At 57.6% G+C, this 26,584-nt stretch overlaps 1 protein-coding gene across 4 annotated transcripts, besides 6 other annotated features; it reads right to left on the minus strand.

Moving 5' to 3' along the window:
* Window positions 1-3,539: 3,539 nt before the first annotated feature.
* Window positions 3,540-24,494, minus strand: IL17REL (interleukin 17 receptor E like). Of its 4 annotated transcripts, XR_001755245.2 has the most exons (16): window positions 24,274-24,494; window positions 20,366-20,393; window positions 12,811-12,960; window positions 12,483-12,592; window positions 12,207-12,321; window positions 11,925-11,969; window positions 11,557-11,696; window positions 11,160-11,231; window positions 11,020-11,074; window positions 9,866-10,038; window positions 9,754-9,798; window positions 9,414-9,471; window positions 9,049-9,212; window positions 8,723-8,803; window positions 6,294-8,589; window positions 4,572-5,394 (listed from the first exon to the last, which is right to left on the minus strand). XR_001755245.2 is itself a non-coding variant. In NM_001371416.1 (15 exons), exons 1-14 carry the CDS (start codon window positions 24,373-24,375, stop codon window positions 8,767-8,769), a joined length of 1,227 nt encoding a protein of 408 aa, NP_001358345.1. In that variant the 5' UTR covers window positions 24,376-24,494; the 3' UTR covers window positions 3,540-8,589; window positions 8,723-8,766. The 4 variants fall into 4 exon arrangements, 3 of the variants coding, with proteins under 3 accessions (NP_001358345.1, NP_001358346.1, NP_001001694.2); NM_001371416.1 differs by having other exon boundaries at window positions 3,540-8,589; window positions 9,049-9,145; NM_001371417.1 differs by having other exon boundaries at window positions 3,540-8,589.
* Window positions 11,130-12,088: an enhancer, noted in NCBI's record as "H3K27ac-H3K4me1 hESC enhancer chr22:50437830-50438788 (GRCh37/hg19 assembly coordinates)". NCBI's record gives its function as "activates a minimal SCP1, AML or CMV promoter by ChIP-STARR-seq in naive H9 embryonic stem cells {active_cell/tissue: H9 hESC(naive)}" and the evidence as "EXISTENCE:reporter gene assay evidence [ECO:0000049][PMID:30033119]".
* Window positions 12,089-13,048: an enhancer, noted in NCBI's record as "H3K27ac-H3K4me1 hESC enhancer chr22:50438789-50439748 (GRCh37/hg19 assembly coordinates)". NCBI's record gives its function as "activates a minimal SCP1, AML or CMV promoter by ChIP-STARR-seq in naive H9 embryonic stem cells {active_cell/tissue: H9 hESC(naive)}" and the evidence as "EXISTENCE:reporter gene assay evidence [ECO:0000049][PMID:30033119]".
* Window positions 13,049-14,006: an enhancer, noted in NCBI's record as "H3K4me1 hESC enhancer chr22:50439749-50440706 (GRCh37/hg19 assembly coordinates)". NCBI's record gives its function as "activates a minimal SCP1, AML or CMV promoter by ChIP-STARR-seq in primed H9 embryonic stem cells {active_cell/tissue: H9 hESC(primed)}" and the evidence as "EXISTENCE:reporter gene assay evidence [ECO:0000049][PMID:30033119]".
* Window positions 22,485-22,804: a silencer, noted in NCBI's record as "silent region_13945". NCBI's record gives its function as "represses an Ori minimal core promoter by ATAC-STARR-seq in GM12878 lymphoblastoid cells {active_cell/tissue: GM12878}" and the evidence as "EXISTENCE:reporter gene assay evidence [ECO:0000049][PMID:35858748]".
* Window positions 22,815-22,864: a silencer, noted in NCBI's record as "silent region_13946". NCBI's record gives its function as "represses an Ori minimal core promoter by ATAC-STARR-seq in GM12878 lymphoblastoid cells {active_cell/tissue: GM12878}" and the evidence as "EXISTENCE:reporter gene assay evidence [ECO:0000049][PMID:35858748]".
* Window positions 24,379-24,979: an enhancer, noted in NCBI's record as "H3K4me1 hESC enhancer chr22:50451079-50451679 (GRCh37/hg19 assembly coordinates)". NCBI's record gives its function as "activates a minimal SCP1, AML or CMV promoter by ChIP-STARR-seq in naive H9 embryonic stem cells {active_cell/tissue: H9 hESC(naive)}" and the evidence as "EXISTENCE:reporter gene assay evidence [ECO:0000049][PMID:30033119]".

Consider the following 26,584-nt stretch of genomic DNA (forward strand, 5'->3'; position numbering starts at 1 on the left):
AGGCAGGATAATTGCTTGAAACCAGGAGGTGGAAATTGAAGTGAGCTGAGATTGGGCCACTGCAGTCCAGCCTGGACAACACAGTGAGATTCCATCTCAAAAAGAAAAAAAAAAACCGACAATTGTAGCCCTCAACAGCAATTTTTGAGGAGGAAGAATCTGATTTTCAGAGTTAACCACATTTATATAGCTTGGATATTTGTCCTCCAAATCTCATGTGGAAATTGGATCCCCATTGGAGGCGGAGCCTGGTGGGAGGTATTTGAGTCATTGGGGTGAACGCCTCGTGAATGGTTTGGTACTGTCCTCACGGTAGAGTGAGTTCTCCCTCTAGTAGCTCCTCTGAGATCTGCTTGTTAGAAAGACCCTGGCACCTCACTCCTCGTTTTTGTGTCTCTCTCACCATGTGATGTGCCACCTCCCCTTCACCTTCTGCCATGAGTAAAAGCAGCCTGAGGCTCTTGCCAGAAGCAGATGCTGGTGCCATGCTTCCCGTACAGCCTGCAGAACCAGGAGCAAGACAGAGTCTCTATAAATTACCCAGCCTGAGGTGCTCCTTTGGCAACACAAGTGGATGCAGACACACATTATAATACTTGAAATGTCCAGTTCCAATACAAAATTACACAGCATACAAAGAAACAGGAAAGTATGACCCATTCACAGGAAAAAAAAAAAAAAGGTAATTTTATAGAAGTCACTTCTGAAGCTGTCCAGACATTGGAAGTACTAGACAAAAATGTTAAATCAACTATCTTAAAAATATTCAATAAGCAGGCTGGGTGCGGTGGCTCACGCCTGTAATTCCAGCATTTTGGGAGGCCGAGGAGGGCAGATCACCTGAGGTCAGGAGTTCGAGATCAGCCTGGCCAACATAGAGAAACCTTGTCTCTACCAAAAATAGAAAAATTAGCCGGATGTGGTAGCACACACCTGTAATCCCAGGTACTCAGGAGGCTGAGGCAGGAGAATTGCTTGAACCTGGGAGGCAGAGGTTGCAGTGACCTGAGATTGCGCTACTGCACTCCAGCCTGGGTGACCGAGCAAGACTCCATCTCTCTCTCTCTTTTTTTTTCTTTTTTTTTTTTTTAGCATTTATTGATCATTCTTGGGTGTTTCTCAGAGAGGGGGATATGTCAGAGTCATAGGACAATAGTGGACAGAAGGTCAGCAGATAAACATGTGAACAAAGGTCTCTGGTTTTCCTAGGCAGAGGACCCTGCGGCCTTCCGCAGTGTTTGTGTCCCTGGGTACTTGAGATTAGGGAGTGGTGATGACTCTTAACAAGCATGCTGCCTTCGAGCATCTGTTTAACAAAGCACATCTTGCACCGCCCTTAATCCATTTAACCCTGAGTGGACACAGCACATGTTTCAGAGAGCACGGGGTTGGGGGTAAGGTTATAGATTAACAGCATCCCAAGGCAGAAGAATTTTCTTAGTACAGAAAATGGAGTCTCCTATGTCTACTTCTTTCTACACAGACACAGTAACAATCTGATCTCTCTTTCTTTTCCCCACATTTCCCCCTTTTCTTTTTGACAAAACCGCCATCGTCATCATGGCCCGTTCTCGATGGTCGCTGTCTCTTCACAGCTGTTGGATACACCTGCAGAAAGGCTGTCACTTCACACTTGGAAGATTGCACAGCGGCCAGGCAGAGGCACTCCTCACTTCCCAGACGGGCGGTGGCCAGGCAGAGACGCTCCTCACTTCCCAGACGGGGCAGCCGGGCAGAGGCGCTCCTCACTTCCTAGATAGGGTGGCGGCTGGGCAGAGGCGCTCCTCACCTCCCAGACGATGGGCGGCCGGGCAGAGGCGCTCCTCACCTCCCAGACGGGGCAGCCGGGCAGAGGCGCTCCTCACATCCCAGACAATGGGCGGCCGGGCAGAGGCGCTCCTCACTTCCTAGACGGGGTGGCGGCTGGACAGAGGCTGTAATCTTAGCACTTTGGGAGGCCAAGGCAGGCGGCTGGGAGGTGGAGGTTGTAGCAAGCCGAGATCATGCCACTGCACTCCAGCCTGGGCAACATTGAGCACTGAGTGAGCGAGTCTCCGTCTGCAATCCCAGCACCTCGGGAGGCCGAGGCAGGCAGATCACTCGAGGTCAGGAGCTGGAGACCAGCCTGGTCAACATGGTGAAACCCCATCTCCACCAAAAATACAAAAACCAGTCAGGCGTGGCGGCACATGCCTGCAAACCCAGGCACTCGGCAGGCCGAGGCAGGAGAATCACGGGAGCCCGAGGCAGGGAGGTTGCAGCGAGCTGAGATCACGGCAGTACAGTCCAGCCTCGGCAACAGAGGGAGACCAGAGAGGGAGAGGGAGAGGAGAGGGACAGGGAGAGAGAGGGAGAGGGAGAGTCTCTTTCTCTTTCTCTCTCTCTCTGTGTGTGTGTGTGTGTGTGTGTGTGTGTGTGTGTGTGTGTGTGTGTATTTATATTCAATAAGCTAAAGGGAAATATGGACATGAAGCTAAAGAAAAGCAGAAGAACAAGGTGTGAACTAAGAGGCAATGTCAATAAGATACATAAATTATAATAGGGAACCAAATGGACAATATGGAGCTGAAAAGCAAAATAGCAGAAATGAAGAATTCGGCTGGGCACGGTGGCTCACACCTGTAATGCCAGCACTTTGGGATGCTGACCCCAGGAATTCAAGACCAGCCTGGGCAACATAGTGAGACCTTGTCTTTACAAAAAAAATTTTTTTTAATTTGCCAGGTGTGGTGGTGCATGCCTATAGTCCCAGCTACTTGGGAAGCTGAGGTGGGAAGATTGCTTGAGCCCAGGAAGCCAAGGCTGCAGTGAGTCACATTCATGCCACTGCACTGCAGCCTGGGCAACATAGTGAGACTGTCTCAAAAAAGAAAAGAAAGAAGTGAAGAGTTCACTCGAGGGGTTCAATGTCAGATTTGTGCACATAGAAGAAAGGATCAGGGAACCTGAAGACAAGGCGATTGGAATTATCCACTCTGAAGAGCAGAAAGAAAAAAGATGCAGAAAAATGGAATAACCCGAGGGATCTGGGACACCATCGAGTGTACCAGCATACACCTCACAGGAGTCCCGAAAGGAGAGGAGAAATAGAAAAGGGAAGAAAAAATTAAACTTGAAGGAATAGTATCCCCAAATTCCCCAAATTTGATGAAATAAATGAATCTACATATCCCAGAATCTCAACAAACTGCAAGCCAGATAAACTCAGAGATCCACAGTGACAAACACTGTTGTCAAACTGTCAAAAAAACAATGACAAAGCAGCAAGAGAGAAGCAACTGGTCTCGTACAAAGGAGCCTCAATAAGATTTTTAGCAGATTTCTCATCAGAAGCCTTGGAGACCAGAGGGCAGTCGTATAAGTAAAGGTAACTACACAGGAAAATAGAAAATCAAGGATTATGATAGTTTTGGTTTGTAACTCCTGTTTTTTTCTATGATTCAAAAGACCAACTCATAAAACAGTAATTATAAATCTATGTTAATGGACATACAATATATAAAGATGTATCTGTGACCCCCAAATACCTGAGACAAGTGTCCGTCAATTCAGGAAGTTTATTTGGCCAAGGTTGAGGACACGAGCCCATGACACAGCCTCAGGAGGTCCTGACATGTGCCTGAGGTGGTCCGGGCACAGCTTGGTTTTATACATTATAAGGAGAAATGAGACATCAGTCAATATATGTAAGAAGTACATTGGTTCTGTCTGGAAAAGTGGGACAATTCAAATTGGAGAGGGGGCTTCTGGGTCACAGATAAGAGACAAACAGTTGCATTCTTTTGAGTTTCTGATTAGCCTTTCCAAAGGAAGAAATCAGATATGCATTTATCTCAGTGAGCAGACGGATGACTTTGAGTTCTGTCTATCCTTTGTCCACAAAGAATTTTTCCACAAATTTGTGGACACAAATTTGTCCACAAGGAGCTGAGGCCAAAACGTTGGTCACTTTTATTCACACTTGCGTGCCAGGACACCCCGAAGGCCTCACCTTCTGCACTTCTCCCCACCTGCCTGCCCTCCACAAGCTGACTCTCGCTGCTCTTCCGTGAGGCAGTCAGGGACCCTGTTAGAGCCGGGCAATGCAAAGGCCCTGCCTCTGCAGTCTCTGTTCACACATCACCTTGTCTGAGCCTCCCAGGGACCACCCTATTTTTGAAATTTTATATCTATTGAAATAGGGTCTTGCTCTGTTACCCAGGCTGGAGTGCAGTGGTGCAATCATGGCTCACTGCAGCCTCAATCCCCCAGGCTCAAACAATCCTCCTGCCTTGGCCTCCCAAAGTGCTGGGATTACAGGTGTGCAACACCATGCCTGGCCCCACCCTATTTTATTTCATTTTAATTTTTAGTTTATTATTTTTAAGATGGTGTCTCATTCAGTCACCCAGGATGGAGTGCAGTGGCATGATCTCAGCTCACTGCAACCTCTGCCTTCTGGGTTCAAGCGATTCTCCTGCCTCAGCCTCCTGAGTAGCTGGGATTACAGGTGCCCACCACAATGCCTGGTTAATTTTTGTATTTTTAGTAGAGCTGGGGTTTCCCCATGTTGGCCAGGTGGTCTCAAACTCCTGACCTTAAGTAATCCACCCGCCTTGGTCTCCCAAAGTGCTGGGATTACAGGCGGGAGCCACCGTGCCCAGACCCACCCTATTTCAGATTGCAGCTCCCCACACTCCCCATCGTGCTCCCAGCCTCATTCCTCACCCCACACTGGCACCAGCCACGCCCCCTCGCTTACTTATGTCACTTGGCTCTGGTTGTCTCTCTCATGCAAAGGTCAGCTCCATGATCCCAGTTTGCCTGGGACTGTCCTGGTGTCAGCACTGACACTCTGACCCAAGACCCTCCTTAGTGCCAGGCAGCCCCAGACTTGGTCCCCCAGCTGCAGGGCCCGGGATCTTTGCCAGTGTTGTTTGTTCCCGGTGCTGGGTCGGGGCCCAGGGCCCAAGGCCTGCTCAGCTGTGTGTCATGAGTGAATGAGGCAGGCGGGCGTCCAAGGCTCACCCGTGTTATACTGTGGCCCAGATGTGAGCAGGGCTGTGCACCCCAGTACAGGTGCTCCTGCCCGCCCCTACCGCACCCCCCTTTCTGGGGCCCGGGGTCCTCAGCACTTTTCTCCTGGCAGGTGTGGGGGTGGGTTTCCGGCGGTGGTGGTGGAGGGAGGGCAGCGTCCCTGGCCAAGGAGGCGGTGGGTGCACTGGGCTGTGGGCGCTCCGTGTTGGGTGCTGGGGCGGCTGATCCGGCTCAGCACCAGCACTAAGAGCCACTGCCGCCTGGTGGCAGCACGCGTGTGTCCTCCAGCAGGTTCCTCCCTTGTCTGGGAGGGACAGTAGGACAGCTGAGATCTGAACACAGCCTCTTAACAGTCCCCAAAGACTCAGTTTCCCCCATCTGCAGAAGAAAAGACTCAGTTTCCCCCATCTGTGGAAGGCTTGAGGGAGCCCACACCCGTCAGGCAGGAGCTCAGCTCTGTGACCCTGGTCTGGCCAATCCTCCCCAGCCCCACCTCCACGGTGGCCAGGATTCCCGGAGTAGCCCTGGGTCAGAGCAGGGGTCTTTGTGCACCACAGGGAGCACCCCTGGCTGGTCCAGGAGGCAGGAGCAGGAACCTGGGGCGGGGACTGCCCTGCTGAGCCGGGACACTTGTTTTCTGGCTGGGGGCGGACGGGGTCTCCAGAGGAGACATGGAGAGAGCAGAGTGGCAGCTTGTGCTGTGCCCCCCACCCCCACTGTGCCCCTGACCTCCCCCAGGCTAGGGAGGGGCACCTGGGTGAGTGGCAGCCTGTATCCCCCCATTCCCCTGATCTCCAGGTTAGGGAAGGGCACCTGGGCGAGTGGCAGCCTGCATCCCCCCATGCCCCTGATCTCCAGGTTAGGGAGGGACACCCTGTCCATGCCCCCCACTGGCCTCCCTGCCCCTGGTGCTCAAACCCAGCTTCTAAAGCCCCTCACCTGGCCTGACCTCCGCATCCCCAGGGTGTCTCCACCACTGGTCCTTTATGGGGACACTTGGATGGGGATGTCTGGTCACACCATGTGACGCTGACCTCAAATCCACTCCCAGAGACCCGGCACCTCCCCTGAGTCCCAAGGTGCTCCCTGCCCCCCACATGCCCATGGGGGTGCGGCCTCCCACGCCTTTGGGGTGCTCTTGGGTCCAGCCTGGTGGGGATGGCTCCACGACACCCGCACTCCAGACTTGTCCCTGGTGCCGTCACCATCCAGCCAGGCCCAAGCTCCATTTTAACAGCTACCCCTGGACCAATGTTTACTGAGTGGCGGGGACTTACTCGCTCTGCAGCCCCCTCTCCAGTCTATGGGACATAGCAGCCTCTGTTGCAGGAGGGAAAAGAAGGCCCAGCGGCCCACGGCCAGCTGGAAGAGGGCAGCCTGGGCCCAGACTGCGGTGGGAGTGCATCTGCAGATGGGGTGCGACCACCGCTGGGACAGGCTGGGCATGTGGTCCTGCACAGCACTCAGGTGAGACGATGTCCAGGCTCCAGAGGGTGGCTCAGCGGGGAAGCCGGAGAGCCTACGTGACCCACACGAGAAGTCTTCAAGGGCCGACCCCATGGCCCACTGCACAGGCCACTGCTGGGCACCCCTGGCTGGGACCTGGATGTGCCACTTGGAATGTCTGAGAACCGCACATCCCAGCAGGTGGCCCCCAGGCAGGTGGCCTCTGAGACCACAGGAAGTGACTGACCGTTGCTGGGTGAGTGGGGCTGGGATCTGGGGAAGCTGAGACCCTCTGGAGGGGTCCGAGTGGGGCGGGTGCCCCAGTGAAGCTCAGCACCCAAGGATGCACAGACAGGAGAGGTGGACTCCAGCCAGTGTGGGGTGCCCTGGGCAGAAACTGGGGTGATCCTTGACCACCTCGGGCCTGATCAGCTACAGGAAGGGTGGGGTTGCACCCTGCACCCCAGAGCACTGGGGAAGCTCCAGGCAGCTGCCAGGGCCTTGTCTTCAGGGCCAGGGACAGTGGCCATGACCATGAATTGTCTGAGAGGGAGGCTGGGGTCCAGCACCTGGGCCATCCGGGGAAGGGGTAGCCCACCCAGCTCCTGCTGTTCCCAGGGGACTCAGGACAGGGCTGAAGGTCTTTTATGTGACCCAGAGCCCCTGAGGGCCCCATGGAGCTGTAGCCCCAGGACAGCCAGCAGGTGCCTAGGCCCCACAGTCAGGTGAGAACACCCCACACTCTCGGAGGGGGGCCTGGCTCAGCTGTCCGAGGCTGTGCCTTGGCCTCCTGCCCCCCAGCAATGTGTCCCTGGCACCTACTTGTTCGTGAGGAGATTCCTGGCCTCAGGCTGCCGTCCCATGTGGGTGGGTGCAGCTGGAGAGAGACGTAGGGGTGGTACTGGCTGGGACACCACCTCCCAGCCCTGCCCCCACTGTGCGAGGCTGAGACATGTGAGGGAAGGGGAGGGGGCTGCCCAGTCCTGGGGTGCCAGTGGCTGTGGACAGCAGCCTTCCATCTGCAGGGAGGCTCAGCAGACAAGTGAAGGAGGAGCCCACCCTGGCCCCAAGAGGAGTGTGTATGACCCCCAGATCCCCCCACCTGAGCCAGGCCCGGTCCTCCTGCTGCCTCCAGGCCTGTCCCTGGGGCCGTGGACTTGCCCAGCATAGCATGGGCACTCCACAGTGGCAGGTGCCAGCCCCAGGGACACCTGACCAGCAGGTGGCCATTGCCCCTTTAGTCTGTGATCTGCTGGAGGTGACCTTTGCTAGGGAGGGGGACCTAGGCTTGGCCAAAAAGTCTTGCTGGGAGAAGGGGGAGCTGAAGGTCTGCGGGTACTGCCACGGCCCTGGGCATGTCCTGTGGGCAGCAGGCTGCCCTGAAATGGCTGTGGCTCAGCTGAGCTGAGGAGACATTCCAGAGACCCCTGCCTGGCCCACTGGTGCTCCCTGGAAAGGGTCTCCAGAGGCCCTGGGTGCCAGGCTGTCCTATCCACCCCCTCCCACCCCTCCCACCTCTGTGGCTGTTGCGGTTCACCCCACCCGAAGCTAGGCAAGCTCTTTTGCTCACAGGGAGGGGTGCAGGTAGGAGTGCCAGCTCTGACCCTTCCTGGACTCCAAGGCAGAGCCACGCTCCTGACCACACCCAGGCCACATGTGCTTAGTTCTGTCCACTGGGCAGAGTCCTGTCCTGATGTACCCTGGGTCCTGGGAGCCTGGGCCTCAGTGGCTGGTGGGCAAAGGGACATCCCAAGTCACTGGCGGTTGGAACCAGAGCTCTGATCAGGGAAGGTGGACCCCCAGGGAGGAGGAGGCAAGGCCAGTGACAGTGAGACCAGGGTGGGCGTGCGGGAGGCCCAGCGGTGTGTGGTGGAGGGAAATGCAAGGCTGGAGGGCAGTGCTGGGCACAGACCTGGGTTTGGCGCAGAAGCCTGACCTGACTCAGGGCCGGATGGTCTCCCCGTTTCCCCCACCCAGTCTCCTGTTCAGTGCACGCCACGCCCAGCCTGCCGTGGGAGGCCTAGGTCTAGTCCTCGGCCTCCTGCGGCCCCTGAGAGATGGGCACCCACTGGAGCGGAGGTTGCAGAGCTGCTGGGGGACGGAGAAGTGTACATCGGTCCTCCAGCCCTGCAGGCATAAGGCAGCTCCGTCAACATGGCCTCCTGCTTCCCCCGGGGATGGGGGATGGGAAGGGGGGGTGTGAACTGAGGTCCTGCAGTGGAGGAGATGGCTAGGGGCTGGGCACAGCAGCGACACCCACCTGGATGCAGATGCCTGGGGCACAGGCCTCCTCCCTGGGAAGGTCTAGGAAGGCAAAAGCAGGGGCGGCTGCCAGGTCACCCTGGGTGGGGGAGGGCAGGTCACAGGCAATGGGAGGAAGGGTGGATCAGGCTAAACACTGTCCTTCTCCCACATCCTCTCAGCACCCACAAAGCAGGGCTGGCCTCCCATCCCTCCCTGCCAGGTAGACTAGACCCTGGGTGGGCTCAGGGCCCGGGTGGGGCAGAGACCACCACAGGGAAGTGATGGGGTCCTGCCGCCACCACCCCCACCTCCCCAGGATGGAGCCCCACTCTCTCGGCTCACTGAGGCTGAAGGGAGCGGGCTGGCCTGGAGTGTGCGTTGGCAGGCAGGGAGCTGTGACTTCCTCCTGTGACACAGGTGCACCTGGAAGTGGGCGGGGCTGGACGAGAAGAAGGTGACCCGGAGGTGGCCCTTTGTGGGCGAAGGCTGGATGGTCATTTTCCAGGCTGTGGGGAGTGAAGGGTGAGACCCCCATCCGGCCCAGCACCCCACCGCCTCCCTTCCTTCCCCAGTGGGCCTGGCGCCTGCCCACTGTACCTCCCCCACACTGGCTTGGCACCGTTATTCCACCTCCCTGACCAGCACAGAGTGATATAAAGGATGTTCTGTGCTGCGTCCACATTGCGTAGGCCTCATGGAGAACTTACTTGGGAAGCGACGCTGTTCGAAAGGGCACCGCACCCAGGACCCCCAACTGGTAGAGAACTGCAAAGTGGGGTGAGGGGTGCAGGAGGGTGGAGTGTGTGTGAGGCAGGGGCAGGGACAGGGGCAGGGACAGGGACAGGCTGGGTCAGCTTCAGGGTGCTCTGGGCCCAGTTCTCCTCCTTAGGCCCTTAGCTCACCCACTGTCAGACCAGGAGGGGGCTCTGAGGGACGCCTGGGAGGCTAGGCTCCAGGGCTGGGCAAGGGCCCCTGCCCCACTCCCCGCCCTGATGCCCCCTGGCCCCTCCCCAAATAGGGCACTGGCAGGCTGTGGCAGCCCCTCACCTTCAGGCAGAGCTGGGGCTGGGTGTCCACCAGCGGGTACTGCACCTGAGGAGGGCTGGGGTCAGGCTGTGGCATCCATGCCCACCCCCATCCCTGCTGAGCAGGCACTCACTCTGCGATGCACCAGCTGGCTGGATTGCTGCAGCTTACGGCAGCCGGCCCCCGGCCCCGGGCGCCAGCACAGGCTCACATGGCCACTCACAGGGCAGGCGGGCTCCCAGCTCAGTGTCTGGCTCTCCGGGTGGTAGTAGACCGTGTCCCACAGCACCTCCAGTGCCTCAGTGTCTGCAGGAACCCTCCCCGAAACACAGGTCAGTTGGGCCCTACCCTGGCTGCCAGGCCCATGGGGTCTAGCACCCACTCAAGTGACCACTGGGCCAGGGTCCAGCGCAGTCCTATGGGTCTCTGAGCCCTGGCTCAAGGCTGTGCACGTGTGTGCATGGGTGCATGTGCATGTGTGTGGATATGCATGTGCATGGGTGCGTGCGCCTATGTGTGTGCCTGTGCATGGGTGTCATGGGTATGGGTGTGCGTGAGTGTGCCTGCCTGTGCATGGGTGTGTGTATGTGTACGTGTTTGCATGGGTGTCATGGGTATGGGTGTGCGTGAGTGTGCCTGCCTGTGCATGGGTGTCATGGGTATGGGTGTGCGTGAGTGTGCCTGCCTGTGCATGGGTGTGTGTGCATGTGTACGTGTTTGCATGTGTATGGGTGTGTATGTGCATGGGTGCGTGTGCATGGGTGCGTGTCCATGGGTGTGGGTGTGCGTATGCATGGGTGTGCCTGCCTGCGCGTGGGTGTGCGTGTGCATGTGTATGTGTGTGCATGTGTATGGGCGTGTATGTTCATGGGTGTCTGTGCATGTGTGTGTGCATGTGTATGGGCGTGTATGTTCATGGGTGTCTGTGCATGTGTATGGGCGTGTATGTTCGTGGGTGTCTGTGCATGTGTGTGTGTGCAGCGTCGCTGAGCAGAACCGAGAGCAGGACGTCTCTCTTGTGCCCCTCAGACAGCCCCTCTTGACAGGCTTGGTTTTCCCAGGTGAGCTGGTCCACGTGCGCACACATGTACATTGCACACACACACACACTTATGCACATCCACATCTGTGCGCAGGTTCCCTTGGTGACAAGCCCTTCCGAGCAGGCTCAGGGATTTAGGCTGGGCCTGCTCCTTATCTCATCCCCCCACGTCAGTCCTCATGGTGGAGTCAGACTGGCCGCAGCCATTCCCACCCTTCCGCCCGTTGGCATCGCAGGACACTTGCCGTTTTCAAAGGGGCAGATCTGGATCCGCACCGCGTCAGGGGTCGCAGACCAGCCCTGTGGGAGGGGCTGGGGTCAGCGCAGCCCACCCATCCCTGTGCTCCCCTCACCCGCCCCAAGTCCAGGCCACACCTCCACCGACCTCCAGGCACAGGCACGGCAGCTCCTGGCTGTAGGGCAGGAAGACGGCCTGGGAGACGCTGTTGGCGGTCACCTGCAACCCAGAAAGGGCGGCTGAGGGGCCGCGCGGGAGGGCGGGGGTGGTCTGGGGTGGGCGGGACCTGCACCGAACGGGGCGGGAGCGGGGACGGGAGGTGGGTGGGGCCTAGGCCTGGCCGGGGGCGGGGCGCGGAGGTGGGTGGGGCCCAGGCCTGGCCGGGGGCGGGGCGCGGAGGTGGGTGGGGCCTAGGCCTGGCCGGGGGCGGGGCGCGGGGGGTGGGCGGGGCGCGGGGTGGGCGGGGCCTAAGGCTGACCGGGGCCCGGGGCGCGGAGGTGGGCGGGGCCTAAGGCTGACCGGGGCCCGGGGCGCGGGCGCTCACTCGCACAGGGGCGCCGGCGTCCTCGCAGGTGAACCGCTTGAGGCAGAGCCGCAGGTAGTAGTCGGGGCTCCCGGAGGCCCTGGGCACTTGCACCAGAATCGCCTTGCGCCTCCGGTCCACCCAGTAGCTGAGCTTCCCCGCTGCAGGAGGCGGCAAGTCGGGGCCGCGCTGGGACCAGCGGTCACCGACGCGGGGCTCTGTCTGTCCCGAGAGCCCCGACGTGGTGGCTCCTGCTGGGTTCAGACGTTTGGGAGTCGCCCGCCCGAGGGCCCCTCAGGATTTCCCAAATGGGGCAGAAGACCCCGGGGAGAGGAAGCCTGTCGCAGCGTCTGAGGGTCTTCGCAGGGGCGTCGAAGGAGGGAACTCACCGAGGCAGTCGGGCACGCTCCTCCCCACGTCCTCCTCTCCGCAGTCTGCAAACCGCAGAGGCAATGGCGGGGTGCGGGCTGCCCTGCCCTCAGGGGCCATCCTCCTCCACCCGCCCCCCATCCACGCGCTGTGCCTCTGTCATGCGACCTCGAATTAAGCCAGAGGTCTTGCGGGGATCTGTCCAGTGTGAGGGCCAGGCCCCTGCCCTGGGCAAGTCCCACCCCAAGCCAGGCCCTGGAGGCTGAACGGTAGCTGTGCTCAGGGGGCCCTGGGGACCCTACCTTCCACGAGGTGCCTCTGGTCCAGCTGGACCCCGCAGAAATGAGGGATGGTCCTCAGGGTGACATAGAGGTGCTGGGCCACGCTCACCGCAAAGCAGCCAAAGTGCACTTGGAGCTGAGCAGGTGCAGGTGTGAGCTGCGTGGACTCAGAGGCACTGCCCACCCCACCCGGCCAGCTCCACTTGCATGGCTGGAGCTTAGAGCCAGGGATGGCGCCCAGGAGGAGTGGCGCCCAGTCTTCGGGACTTGGGTGGCAGAGCCCTGCCTTGGCCTCACCTGCTGCCCCCCCTGCTGCCGGTGGGAGGCCCTGGCCACCCACACGCTCTGACACTGCGTCTCCTGGGTGTCCAGGCTCATGGCACAGGCCTCCAGGCCCCGCAGGCGCTCTGGGTGGAGGAAGGACCCGGCAGGGTGCATCAGAGCAGGGCCGCCCCTGGCTCCGGACGGGGCCGTGGGACCCTGTTCCTCTGCCTTCTCTCTGTGAAGTGCGGTTAGCAGCCCCCCTCCCTCACCAGGCCGCCCAAGGTTTGATGGGAATAAAAGGCACCTGGGCCCACTGCTGGACCTGCGGGTGTTAACTCCCACCCTCGAGGCCACCTCTCACCATGCAGGGTGATGGAGGCGCGTACACGCAGGAGCATCGCGCAGCCGTCAGAGGGGACACACTGCATGGCAGTGGAGGACGTCAGGGCCTCCAGGACTGACCTGGACATGGACACGGGGCGTGGCCGGCAGAAGCTGTTAAAAATGTTCCCTGGGGAGGGAGAAGGAGCGTGAGGCCTCGAGTTCCCTGGTGCTCGGAAAGGCTTTGTGGGTGGTTCTGGGAAGGGGGAGAGAGCCCTGGGGCTGCAGTCTTTGCCAGGGGGTCTTTACTATCTTGCCCCAGGCCAACTGGAGAGCAAGTCCCCTGGCATGTGGTGAGCCCCCACCCCGAGACACACTCCAAAATGTCTGTGGGACCCCAGGAGTGGGCCTGGGTCAGGGGGGCAGGCTGCACACCAGTCTGCATCAGAGCAGTGGAAGCTGCTGCCCCACCTGGCCAGCAAGGGGGCAGGAAGCCCACCACGACTTGCTGGCAAGCTCTGTCGACTCTGCTCAAAGACGAACAGCAGAAAAGGCCAACACGGGCTTGCTGGGACACCTGGGAGGCGACCCCAAGGTTGCTGCAGCCCAGGCCTCTGTCCACAGGGAAGCGGCCGCATCCTCACAGGGAGGACTTGCCCCCAGGGCCTTCTGCTCTGAGACCAAACGCCATTCTGAGCAGCCTCACCAGACGTGGGCAGTGTGGAGCTGGGTATCATTTTGGGCACTGGGGGCTTTGCTCAGCCAGGTTTGCAGGTGGGACTCAGAGCAGAACTTCACGTGAGCCACAGAGCCTGGCAACCCAGCTGTTCCACAGGAGGACTGCCACCCTCTTTATAGAAGGCATGGCCACCGAGGCGTGGGACCCACATGCTGTTGGTGAGACAGTGCGGCTGCTGCTCAGCGGAGCCCACACTGAACACAGCACCCTGCTGAGGCAGGAGAGTAAGGAATGAGGGTAACTGGGGGTGAAGGGAGAAGCAAAAGAACAGCAGGTGCAGCCAGTTCCAGGCAAGATTAGGCAGCACAGGCCACAGCCTCCCTCCTGTGATAATGAGACTTCACTTCAGCCTCTGATTGGTTGCAGGCCGATCCTCCACAGGGTGTAACCCACTGGAAACCTCCAAAGGGCAGCTAGGAGTGTTACCAAATTCTTTTAGCTTTATGAAAACCCTGCGGAGCACTGCATTTGGGGCCTTGGCTGCTTGCTTCGGCCTGCTCCCGCTCTGTGGAGTGCTCCTTCGCTTCAGTAAATCTGTGCCCTCCTTACTCCATTATTTTTTGTTGCTTTACTTGTGTGTTTTGTTCAACACAGCAAGAACCTAGACAACTGACGGTTGAGACCTTCCACCCAGTAACTCTGTGCCTCAAAGGGGCACTGGGAATGAAGTCCGAATATGCTATGGGTAAGAAATCCAACTCTTTCTTTTCTTTTCTTTTTTTTTTTTTTTTTTTGAGACAGTCCCGCTCTGACGCCCAGGCTGGAGCATAGTGGAGTGATCTCAGGTCACTGTAACCTCCGCCTCCCAGCTTCAAGCAATTCTCCTGCCTCAGCCTCACGAGTAGTCGGGATTACAGGCACGCACCACCACGCCCAGCTAATTTTTGTATTTTTAATAGAGACAAGGTTTCACCATGCTGGCCAGGCTGGTCTCAAACTCCTGATCTCAGGTGATCCGCCCACCTCGGCCTCCCAAAGTGCTGGGATAACAGGTGTGAGCCACCACGCCCAGCCAGAAATCCAACTCTTACAAATTCCCACTGTAGTCCGGATGGACTCACAGGGATCTGATTTATCCTCCTGCCTGAGACAGCTGGGAAACCAAGGCAAAATCCATGAGCAATGGTTTCAAGACAAGTGGGCGTGAGAAAGTGAGGGACAGTGAGTCCTGGGAGACAGGAAACGGCCACAGTGAGCTCTGGGAATGCGCCACTGTCTGGGGAGTGTTCTCAGGCAGTGGTGGGGGTGGATCCCAAGTGGAGCTTGGCACACTCCCTGAGAGGAGAAACTGGGATAGAGAGTCTGGGCAGCCGGACCGAGTATGAGAGGGGAGAGGATAACGCAGAGAGAGCTCTGGAGAATATCCACTTTGCTAATACTCTGTGGAGTATTCATGAACACAGGCATGTGAGGGAACGACCAGAGGTGGAGAAAGAACAACCCAAGAGAATTTGAGGGAGTGGGCCGGGCGGGGCTCATGCCTGTAATCCCAGCACTTTGGAAGGCCAAGGCGGGCGGATCACCTGAGATCAGGAGTTTGAGACCAGCCTGGCCAACATGGTAAAACCTGTCTCTACTAAAAATACAAAAATTAGCCAGATGTGGTGGCTCACGCCTGTAATCCCAGCTACTCAGGAAGCTGAGGCAGGAGAATCGCTTGAACCCAGGAGGCAGAGGTTGCAGTGAGCCAAGATCGTGCCACTGCACTCCAGCCTGGAGACAGAGTGAGACTCCATCTCAAAAAAAAAAAAAAAAAAAAAAAAGGCTGGGCATGGATCACACCTGTATTCCCAGCACTTTGAGAGGCCACTGCACCCAACTGACAAAATTTTAAAAACCACTTATCATCTCAATAGTCACAGAAAAATTTTTTGACAAAATTCACCATCCATTCCCGATTAAAAAGAAAAAATATCAGCAAACAGGGAATGAAATTTCCTCAAATTGATAAAGATGATCTGTGAAAAATCTATATGTAACATAACATTTCTCAGTGAAATAATAGATTATTTCCACCCCTCAGATAAAAAACAAGACAAGGATCCCTGCTCTTCTCACTTCGACTCAATACTGCAGGGGGGACCCTACTCCACACAATGAGGCAGGAAAAGAAATAGGCTTCTCGCTTTGAAATGAAGAAGGAAAGTTGTGTACCCTTGTAGATGACATGATTGTCTCTGTAGAAAACACTAGTATCTACAAAAAAGGCACTGAAACTAATAAGTTTAGCAAAGTTGCAGAATACAAGATCAATATACAAAAATCCACTATTTCTTTTTTGTTTGTTTTAGTTTTTTGTTTTTTTGTGTTTTTTTTGAGACAGAGCCTCACTCTGTTGCCCAGGCTGAAGTGCAGTGGTGCGATCTCGGCTCACTGCAACCTCTGCTTCCCGGGTTCAAGCGATTCTTGTGTCTCAGCCTCCTGAGTAGCTAGGACTACAGGTGCGTACCACCACACCCGACTAATTTTTTAATTTGTGGTGGAGACAGGGTTTCGCCATGTTGGCCAGGCTGGTCTTGAACTCCTGACGGCAAGTGATCCACCTGCCTCAGCCTCCCAAACACTGTATTTCTATATACTAGCAAAGAATAACTAGAAATTGAAAATTTAAAAATAAAGCTGGATGGTTTGGGGATAAAAAGCCAGGCTGTGCTAGGGAGTGGGGAGGGGAGTGAGGGGAGCTTTGTTCCCAAGGCTGGTGTTTCCTTCCCTTGGAGCATCATCCCCGGGGCTTGGTATGCAGCAATCTTCAGAGAAATGACTGTGCCTTAGAGCTCGGTGTGTATGTTGTCATCCATATGTGTGAGGCCAACAACTCCCCTTTAATCCTAGCACTTTGGGAGGCCGAGGAGGGCAGATCACCAGAGGTCAGGGGTTCGAGACCAGCCTGGCCAACATGGTGAAACCCTGTCTCTACTAAAAATACAAAAATTTGCCAGGTGTGGTGGTACACACCTGTAGTCCTAGCTACTCGGGAGGCTGAGGTAGGAGAGGAAGGGAGGCAGAGGTTGCAGTGAGAAGAGATCATGCCACTGCACTCCAGCCTGGATGACAGAGCAAGACTCCATCTCAAAAAAAAAAAGACAACCTCCTTTATGCAAGAAATGAGAAATCTGCATCTTTTGACCCTTTCTAGAAAAAAGACAAAGACTTATTCCAGGCAACCAAGAAAGAATCAAAACCAGAAAGTAAAAAAAAAAAAAAAAAAAAAAGGTGAAGCCACGGAGGAGAAGGACTCACGGTGAGCAAGGAAAATGAGGACATATACAGAGTTAGTGAAACGGGCGCAGGAGGAGAAGCTGCTCATTGTGAAATAAAATGTATAAAAATAAGAACAGGATCTTGTCCCAACTAAGCTGACAAAATGAAGAGGAGGCTGTGTAGAAGGAAGGGTGAGTAAAGCAGAAACACACAAGATTAGTGTGGTACAAAACAGAATTCATTGTTACTGTGTGGAAAAAACTGTGAAACTACAATTCATCATAAACACTTAGCAATAAATATGTTTTGCCTTATTCAAAATAAGGCATAAAAATAATATCCACAGAGTCTTACTGAAAAAACGCCTAACAGATGTGCTTGCTTCAGGAAGGAGAAGGGAGCTCAACAGGAACAAGTGGGTTACAGAAAGGAGCAGCGAGGAGCAGGGAATGGGAAAACACGATGGGGAATTGGGAATTCAAGCTGGTGTTGACAGAGGAGGAGGCTGAGGACAACTCTGTGTGTTTAAAAATACCTGGGCCGGGCGCGGTGGCTCACGCCTGTAATCCCAGCACTTCGGGAGGTCGAGGCGGGCGGATCACTTCGGGTCAGGAGTTCGAGACCAGCCTGGCCAACATGGTGAAACCCCGTCTCTGCTAAAAATACAATGATTAGCTGGGCATGGTGCTGCTGGGCGCCTGTAATTCCAGCTACTTGAGAGGCTAAGGCAGGAGAATCCCTTGAATCCGGGAGGCGGAAGTTGCAGTGAGCCGAGATTGCGCCACTGTACTCCAGCCTGGGCAACAAAGCGAGACCTTGTCCCCCTACCCCCCAGAAAATAAAAAAATAAAATATACCAAAAATAAAAATAAAAACACCCTGGGACTACACTTCCCTCATATGGGAGACCCGGCCATTTGCACCAACTCAACTGCTGAAAAGTACCAATTGGGCTGGAGAAAAAAACATATGTTTTTTTAAAAACCTTCCTAGAAACGTAGGAGAGCTGCGAAAATAATCAGGATGGGGGTGCTGAGGAAAGCAGGGCGTAGGAGGTTGCTTTACAGGGGTGGAGGATGGAGGGAACGTTTCCAACCCAGTGGGAGCTGAGGGCTTTGTGGGGAGGCCCCAGCACATGGTGAGGAAGAACTTCCCCACGTTGAGCTAGGCCTTGACCTGGGTTAGCCAGAGCTGGACCAACCCTCTCCCCAAAGCCCAGGCACTGTTCCAGACTCGCTGAGTGGAGGAGCAGGGAGAGAAAGCTCCCCCAAAGCCCACAACCCAGTACAGATTCACAGCCCAGGTTGGGCCCACCAGGAAGACCCATGAAACCTCAGTCTGTGAATCTGGTTTAAACGGCCCCGACAGTCAGACACTGCTCCTGGCACCACCCAGGAGCAACAGGAATCCAGCCTCCGGGAGGCCCTGAGTCCTGGGACGTTGAGCCGCTGAAGGTAAACAAGCACACCAGGAAGCAGAGAGCCCAGAGTGACGCTGTGGAGAGGGTGGGCCCAGGTGTCCTCCAGTAACAAGCCACAGGCCAAGCAGGCGAAAAAACAGGCTTGAAAATACAGGCAGCAGGAAAGGCTGTGATGAGGGACCAGGCACACTTGAGAGAAATGGAATTCCTAGAAACAAAACCACCACGACAGAATTAAAATACAACGGGTGATTTTTAAGAGCAGATTGGGGCCGGGCGCAGTGGCTCACGCCTGTAATCCCAGCACTTTGGGAGGCCGAGGCGGGCGGATCATGAGGTCAAGAGATCGAGACCAGCCTGGCCAACATGGTGAAACTCTGTCTCTACTAAAAATACACAAAAAATTACCCAGGCATGGTGGCACATGCCTGTAATCCCAGCTACTCAGGAGGCTGAGGCAGGTGAATTGCTTGAGCCCAGGAGGCAGAGGTTGCAGTGAGCCAAGATTGCACCACTGCACTTCAGCGTGGGCAAAACAGTGAGACTCTGTCTCAAAAAAAAAAAAAAAAAGGGAGGGGATGTTAAACTAAAAAACCTATATGACAATTTTCATAGATGCAGAAATTTTTCATAAAATTCAATACCTATTCATGATGAAAGAATGTTTAGCAAACTAGGAAAAGAAAGGCACCTCTTTGTCTAGATCAGGGACATCTAGTGCAAACATCCAATAAACTTAATACTGAACAGTAAACCTTTGGAATCATTACTATTAATATCAGGACTCAAACAGGAATTCCCTCATTCACCATTGCCCTGGAGAGCTGAGCCAATTCCACAAGATCCGCCCCCTCCACCCAATGCGTAGGTTTATGAGCTGTCATTAGCTGCAGAATATGTGATCATCATTAAAAAAGGAGACTCCATAGGAAATCTATTAGAAATACTAAAGAGCTTTATCTTTTATTTGTTTATTTATGTTTTTATGAGGCAGAGTCTCACTCCATTGCCCAGGCTGGAGTGCAATGGTGCAATCTTGGCTCACTACAACCTCTGCCTCCTGGGTTCGAGTGATTCTCTTGCCTCAGCCTCCCAGGTAGCTGGGATTACAGGCAAGTGCCACCACACTCAGTTAATTTTTTTGGGGGGGGGATTCTTAGTACAGACAGGTTTCACCATGTTGGCCAGGCTGGTCTCGAACTCCTGACGTCAGGTGATCCACCTGCCTCGGCCTCCCAAAGTGCTGGGATTACAGGTGTGAGCCACCGCATCAGCCATGCTTTGCATTTGTTGTTTGTTTGTTACTATAGTCCGCTTTGTGAATTTGCATGTCATCCTTGCGCAGGGGCCAAGCTGATCTAATCTCCTCCCTTAAGCTTAGAGGTCCTTGAGGTGAAGAAACATTTAAGTAAAGTTTAGCCATCTATTTTTCTGTTAAATTCAAGTAAAAATAAAATAGTTTAAATGACATAAGGTAATTTCATTTCTATAAAATAATTTTTATCTGTTTATCCTGCAAATATCTGTATATTTGGCTACACAAATGTCTAGAACAGGCCAGGCATGGTGGCTCAAGTTCACAATCCCAGCACTTTGGGAGGCCGAGGCAGGAGGATCGCTTGAGCCCAGGAGTTTGAGAACAGCCTGGGTTTGGTTGACCAACCAGAGATAGGAAGACTTCAGGTCTATTCCTATGAAAATCAAAAATAAGAAAAAAAACCCCAAAATGCCTAGAGCAATGTTTGCCTAGGTAAACACTGTTTATTTCTACATGGAGGCTTTCCAGTGAGCCTTAACTTTCTTCCTTGTGGCATCTGCATCACTCAGAGTCCTTTTATAAATAGATACGCTGTTTAACAAAGACAAGGTAGTTGTTAAAGGCCCAGTAGGGATCACTTTACACAGGGAAAAAGCTTTGCTAGAGGAGACGGGGTTTTCCACCTGCTGCTTCTGGGCGGCCGGTTTGGAACGCAACGAGGCATTGTGCGTTAAGTGGAGACGTGGGACTCTCTGGCAGGCCCACCTCTGGCCAGGAGCCAGGGTGGCCTTGCCTGGGTGTGGCCAGGGTCCCACACGCATCGGTGAGTGATAGAGGTTTGCCCTGCCCAGAAGGGAACCCCAGCTGCTGGGGACACTGCAGGACAGACCTGCCTCCCACGGTGGACAAAGCGGCCCTGGTAGCCTGGGGTGGGGAGTCCAGGCCCTGAGCATCCCCCGGGGCTGAGATGTACTCACGGTTCCTGTGGCTCCTGCAGGCAAAGCCCTGGGGACAGAACAGTGAGAGGGGTGAGCGGCTGAGGGCACCCCCTCCCCAGCCCATCCTGCTCCTGCCCTGTCCCTCACTCCTGGGGGTCCTGGGCTGCCCTGAATCCTGGCTTCTCCTCAGTGTCAGGGGCCTGGCCCAAGGCTGGCATGCGGCGGTCACTTAGTAAACAGTGTGGTCTGAATCCCTCTGGACCCTCAGGCCCCAGCTCCCCGACCCACTTGTGCGTTTAAGTGGACACTAGCAGAGCACCCACTACGTGCCAGGCTCGCTTAGGTGCTGGGATTCATGAACAGAGGAAAACTGAACCATCCCCACCTCTCCAGGAGCTCACATTCCGAGAAGGGGGAGACAGAACGATCCGAAACCTGGGAAATCAGCAACTTATATTCTGTGTAACTAAAATAAAGGGGTGGGAAAATAACAGAGGGGTCAGGAGGAGCAAGAGGGGTCCGGATAGTGTGGGGGGTGCAGGTTATAAATCTAAGGGGTGCTTGGGGGGCCTCATAGAGGTCAATTTCATGGGCCTGGAAGCAAGTGAGGCTGAGTTGGTGGTGCGGGGCGGGGGCATGCCGTGCAGTGAACAGGTCCTGGATGGTCCAGGTCCAAGCTGCACTCCTGATTTATGATCATCCCCAGCCCAACCTGACCAAGGGCACTCAAAGAGGGGCATGAGGACTTGTGGCCAGGCTCCCACGGGGCAGAAGGGTCCTGTGGGACAGGCTGCTCGCAGACAGCCTGTGGGTGAGGCAGAAGGCGCCCGGCACCCCGGCACCAACGGCGTGGGAGCTGAGGTCCGAGAGCACAGGGTGGCACTGGCGCCCTCAGAGCAGGGCAGGACCCCCAGAGTCCAGGCCCCCTGGGGGCGGCCACTGAGCCTGGGGTGTTGGACTGTGCAGCCCGCGGTCAACACAGCCGCTCCATTCTTGAAAAGAGCTGACCCTCTACAGACCGGACGGGGAAGCCCAGGCTGTCGGGGTGGGGGTGGGGGTGGGGGGAGCTCAAGATGGAGACCTGGACTTCTGCTCCTAGCCCAGGTGGGAACACGGAAAAATAAAAGTCGGGCCCACTTCTGTTCCTTGAATTGTGGAGCGGGCATTACCGGTGGCTACACCTCCTTCTAAATATTTTTTATTTTGGAATATGTTTAGATTTACAGAGAGTTTACCCAGGATCCCCTCATCTCAACAGTTTCCCGTGCATCTGCAAAACCTGGGGAGCCACATGGGTGGCGGCAGTCAGTGACCCTCAGTCTGGTGTGGAATCGGCGGCAGTCAGTGACCCTCAGTCTGGTGTGGAATCGGCGGCAGTCAGTGACCCTCAGTCTGGTGTGGAATCACGTGCTACTAGTGAACTGTTTTCTGTTCCAGGGTCCAGCGCAGGACCCCACCCTGCAGATGGCCTCTGAGTCTTCGTTCTCACCCCACCGTCTCTACCCATTTGCCGACCACCCCAATAACTCCCCAGAGACTGCCGTGAGTGACCCTCCTCCGCCTGCCATGGCCACGAAACCCGCCGCCCGTGGGCGGAGTATACAGGCTGGACCCAGCGTCCTGATGGAAGCCCCGGCCTCGGCCCCTGGTGGGGAGCAGGGCCTCAAACGAGGGGCCGGCGGAGCTGACCCCAGGCTGCTGAGGGCTCCGCCCAGGCAAAAGGGGCCGGGCTCACCCGGGGCAGCCTCTGGGGAACGGGATCCGAGCAGGCCTCAGGTGGGCAGGCGAGGGCAGCCCAGACCAGCCCGGGCACAGAGGGAGCGGCGGAGGCAGCGTGGGGAGGCCCAGTGAGGCCGCCTGTGTGGAACTGCAGGGGGGCAGTGGCGTGGGTCCCCGGGCCTCCCTCCCGCCAGGTGCCCTGAAGCCCCTCTGGGCGCCCACTGTGGCCTGGACTCCCCGCATCCACCTTCAGGAGAGAAAGAATCCCCGCTGGGGGCTCGGAGGCCGGGGTGGGCTGGAGAGGCGAAGGGCGTCTGCTCTCTCTCCTGACTTCCTGGACTCTGAAGCCCACCCAGGGCTGGCCCCGTGGCCCGAGTGTCTGGGGCTGCAGGAGAAGCCGCTGTCGGGGGCGCGGAACGTCGCGCGGTTCTGCCCCGCCCCTGCCCCACGGCACGGGGAGCGGGACCCGGGCGCGCTGGGGGGAAGGTGGGGGGAGCGGGGGCGGGGGGGGGCTGAGCCCGGGCGCTGGGCGCCTCCCCCGCACGGGGTTTTCCGTCGTGCTTCTCGGGGCTTCCCAGCGGCCGGCGTCGGGGGGTGTGCAGGGAACCCCCAGGGCGGCTGCTCGCGGCCCCACCCCGCCCAAGCTCCCCTGCATGCGGCCCAGCCTCCCGCCGTCACCCGCGCGGGTCCCCCCCCAGGGCGCGGCTGTAGCCCCAGCCTCCCCTCCCTGGCTTCCCCCCGCGGGCAGGGGCTCCCGCGCCCCCTCGCAACCACCGCCCTGTCCAAGGCTGCCCAGGCAGCGCCCCTACACCCACCTCCAGCTTCCCGCTCCTCTTGTCACCCCTTGACCCCTCCTGCTCAACCCTCCCCACCCCATCTTCCATGAGACCCTCCCTCAGCCCCGCCAAACCCCTCCTCTCCTCTCCCCTCCAGCACTTCCCCTCCTTCCTGGCCTCTTCCACCCGCCTCAGCCCCTGCCCTTGCCCCTGCCCCTTTCCTTGGAGTACTGAGGGTTCAATCTTGGTCCCCACCCATTCCCCAGGATCACCTGGCCGTCCTAGCGTGGACAGCGCGGTCACACCTCGGACCGGGAGGCTGCCTGCATACCCCGCAGCCGCCTCAGCAAAGCTTTCCAGCTTGCACTTCAAGGCCGCCTCCCCCCATGTCTCCCAACTCAGGGACCATTTCCTCCCAGAGGCAAAAGTCGATTCTGAGGTCTCATCTCTCGCTTCTCCTTCCCCCTCCTAGCCAGGATCCCCAGGCCTGCCCCCTCCCTGTTTTCCATCTCCACTGCAGGGTGGCATCCGGTGGACACCCCTCCCACCTGAACCCGCCCATCTCCCCTGCTGCCACCGGTTCCCACGCATCCCAGCCTGCTTTCTTCCTTGTTCCACGAATGCCCTGTGGATCTGAGCCTGCCCATGGCACCCAGCACTCCAGCCCTTGCTGCTCCCCTCCCTGAGCTGAGCCCTCTGCTGGACCCGTCTCAGGCCCTGTGGAGCTGCTGGATGTCCCCGCAAGTGTCCCCTGAGGTGACCAGGCCACCACCCTAAAGGCACATCTTGCTAACTGCTGTCCCCATGCCAGGAACGGTGCACCCAGCAGGTCCTCAGTGAGTCCTCCCTTTCCGGGACACCTTCTGTGCCCTTTCCATGCCTGTGTCCCCACTGTGCCCGGCCAGCCTTGGGCACCGGGGCCCCTTCCTGGGATGCTGGGTACACTTCCTGCTGCAGGTGCTGATGAAGCGCCCTCTCCTGTAAGGCTGAGTGAGTGGGCTGTGCAGTGAGAGCCCTCCACCCCAACCCAGCCACCTCCACTGCCAACATCTCATTCTCAGCACGTTCTCCGAGTGTTTCCTTGGCAGGTGTCTACACAAGCCCAGGTGTTGCGGGCTCCCGATGGCTCAGAGCAGCCGAGCGGGGTGGGGTGGGAGCCCCGGATGGGCTTGCGGGCTGCCCTAGATTCTAACACAGCCTCCTTGGAGGTCACAGGTGGGTCCGAGGTGGGCTCACCCTGCCTTGAGCTTCCAGCAAACACTTCCCGGAGCAGCTCGGCAGGGTCAGGCCAGGTCTCCCATCCTTCTTTCACCAGCGCTGCCCTCGGACCCCCCAGGGCCCTGCAACCCCTCACCTGCTGATGTGCTGAGAGCGTCAGGCCAGACCCACCTGAGGAGAAACCAGGGCCTTATCTGCCACAGTGTAGGGGCCTAGGAGGAGGCAGGAGCTTACCTGAGAACAGGAGAGGCCACATTCTGTAATCCGGGGGATGGCCAGGCTCTGGAAAGTGCCCCAGGTCAGGCCCAAGAACGCGAGTGCTTGCCCAGCCAGCATCTGGCTGTGCAGTGAGAGCTCCCACTGGTAAGCGTGGATGTGAGTGGGGCAAGTTTGCAGGATGCCCTGTGGCAGCGGCTCCAGGCTGACCCTGCAGCTCCAGCCCCAAAGACAAACAGAGGGTGGAGGCTGCTCTTCACAGCTGGAGCGAGCGAGACACTCCCCCTCCCGGCAAAACAGGGCTCGCTTCACAGACAGCAGCCCGGGAGACTTTCCACCGCCTGGGGCCAGAAGACTGTGGCCAGACACTTGTGGAGTTTCTAGGTTTCCAAAGGAAGCATCCAGAAACCTTGGGGCCTTTGGGGTCCGAGGACACCCTAATGGGGTTCCCCACAGGGCGGCCACTGGTGCAGAGATGGCTCCAGGCCGGCGGGATAGGCTGCCGCCGGCGTGCACCTCCCTCAGGCATGCATGAGGCCAGGAGGGTAGACAAGGGCCCTGGAAAGCTGGCTGGGCTGGCAGAGGGGTGGAATCTGTCCTGGGCACTCATACCCCAGAGCCCCTGGCTTCAGCCCCAGCCCCTAAGGGGAGCCCTCTCCTAAGACCTGAGATTCCACCCAAGTCCCTGGCCTCCACCTCCCCTCAAGATGCAAAAGGCCACCTCCCCTGTGTGGTCCTCCCTATGAGCCCCCCCCCACTCCGGAGGGCACCCCCCGAGGCTGGGAACTCTGGGGCCCAGCCTCTGCTCAGGGAGCCGTTCTGTGTCATCTTCTTATTTGGAGCATCAAATGCATAGGAAAGTTTCTGGGCAGAAGCTTACTGCTTCCCATTTGCCTCCAGCCAGGGCAGGGGGTTGGAGAGAACCAGGGTGCAGTTCTTGGGTCCTCCTGGCTCCTCCCTTCCTGGACAGGCACAGAGGCTTCTGCACCTGCCTCAGGTTCTGGGAGGGCACTGCCCCACGTGTGTGTGTGTGTGTGTGTGTGTGTGTGTGTGTGTGTGTGTGTGTGTGTCTGTGTGTGTGTGGGGGGGGGATGGCGGGAGTTAATAGCTGGGGAGCCTGGGAGTGTCTAGCTGGGGTGTTCTGCCTGGAATACCCACAGGACACCCCAAGTGTGGAGGGCGGCACCACCCCCAGGCTGGGAGAGGCTGTGGGCCTCACACTGTGGGCTCGGGTAGTCAGGAGGGAGCTTGAGAAACAAGCTCTGGGGTTCGGTCCCAGGGGAGGGAAGGCGGCAGGGGCTGCTGTGACCGTGAAGTCCTCCCTCCCTCCCACCACCCCGCACTGCCCACCTCCCTGCCTCCTGGGCCAGCACCTCGACCCTGCCCCCGCCTGGCCTAGAGCCCTCCATGGGCTGGAACTTATGCACTCACTGCTGGGCAGAGTAGATGGGGCTGAGCCCGCCCCCTGCAGCAGCGTGCCTGTGGCCACAATGCCCTGGAGAGAGTGGCTAGTGCCAGCCTCCATGCCACGGCATGGTCAGCAGCAGGCAGGCACATTTGGGGGTGGCTCAGGACGGGCCACTGTCATCCCCTATCCCAGGCTGGCTGAGCTGTAAGACAGATACTCCAGCTGGGCCTCGCCCCTCAGCCTGGCCTCCAGCCCTCCTTATACCAGGGGACGATGGGGGCTGCTGTACTGTGGCAGGGGTGTCCCAGACGATGTCCATGGGCACGGCCAGCAGGATCATTGGGAAAGGACAAATGTCCCTCCCCCATGGGCCCACTCACACCCAAACCTCTCTCCAGGCCTCTCTGGGACAGGCCCCCACCACGACACACCCGTTGCCTGAAGGCGCCATCCCAGCGTGCCGTGACGCAGGCAGGGGCTGCAGGTGGCCAGTAGTCGGTGATCTCGTGTAGGGACGGCCCACGGGGTGTGGCTGGTGCTGGTTCCAAGGCCCAGGGAAGGACAGTGGGGCCGGCCTCTGCCCTCTGCCCCAGGCCCCCGGCCACCCTCTCCAGCCTGAGGTCAGAGGGCTCCAGCCCTGTCTCTGAGGGCTGGGGGATTGGCCCTGCTCAGTATCCATGAAGAGCCAGGCCACGGGCTCCTGGGCGGGCCCCGGCCACCGAGATCACCCACCGCAGCTGGGCGAGGCCTGGGGTGGGGGTGGGGTCTTTCCAAGTCTGGGTCTCCAGGGCAGCACGGCCACACAGCCCAGTGACCATCGGTCGCCCAGAAGCCCAACGGTGAAGGGATCTGAGGGTCCAACCCCGGGGGCTCCCTCCGCGCCCGCGCTGGGCACCAGATGGGAGGAAACGGGGTGCGGAG

Source organism: Homo sapiens, chromosome 22 (assembly GCF_000001405.40).
Source record: "Homo sapiens chromosome 22, GRCh38.p14 Primary Assembly".
Taxonomy (NCBI): domain Eukaryota; kingdom Metazoa; phylum Chordata; class Mammalia; order Primates; family Hominidae; genus Homo; species Homo sapiens.

What these genes read in the sequence shown, in the direction of transcription:
- IL17REL (NM_001371417.1), bottom strand. Translation starts at nt 24,375, where the DNA reads ATGCTGGCTGGGCAAGCACTCGCGTTCTTGGGCCTGACCTGGGGCACT. An exon ending in TGCCGTGCCTGTGCCTGGAG is followed by an intron (nt 11,075 to 11,159) that starts GTCGGTGGAGGT and finishes CCCCTCCCACAG; the next exon opens with GGCTGGTCTGCGACCCCTGA. An exon ending in GCCAGCTGGTGCATCGCAGA is followed by an intron (nt 9,799 to 9,865) that starts GTGAGTGCCTGC and finishes AGCCCTCCTCAG; the next exon opens with GTGCAGTACCCGCTGGTGGA.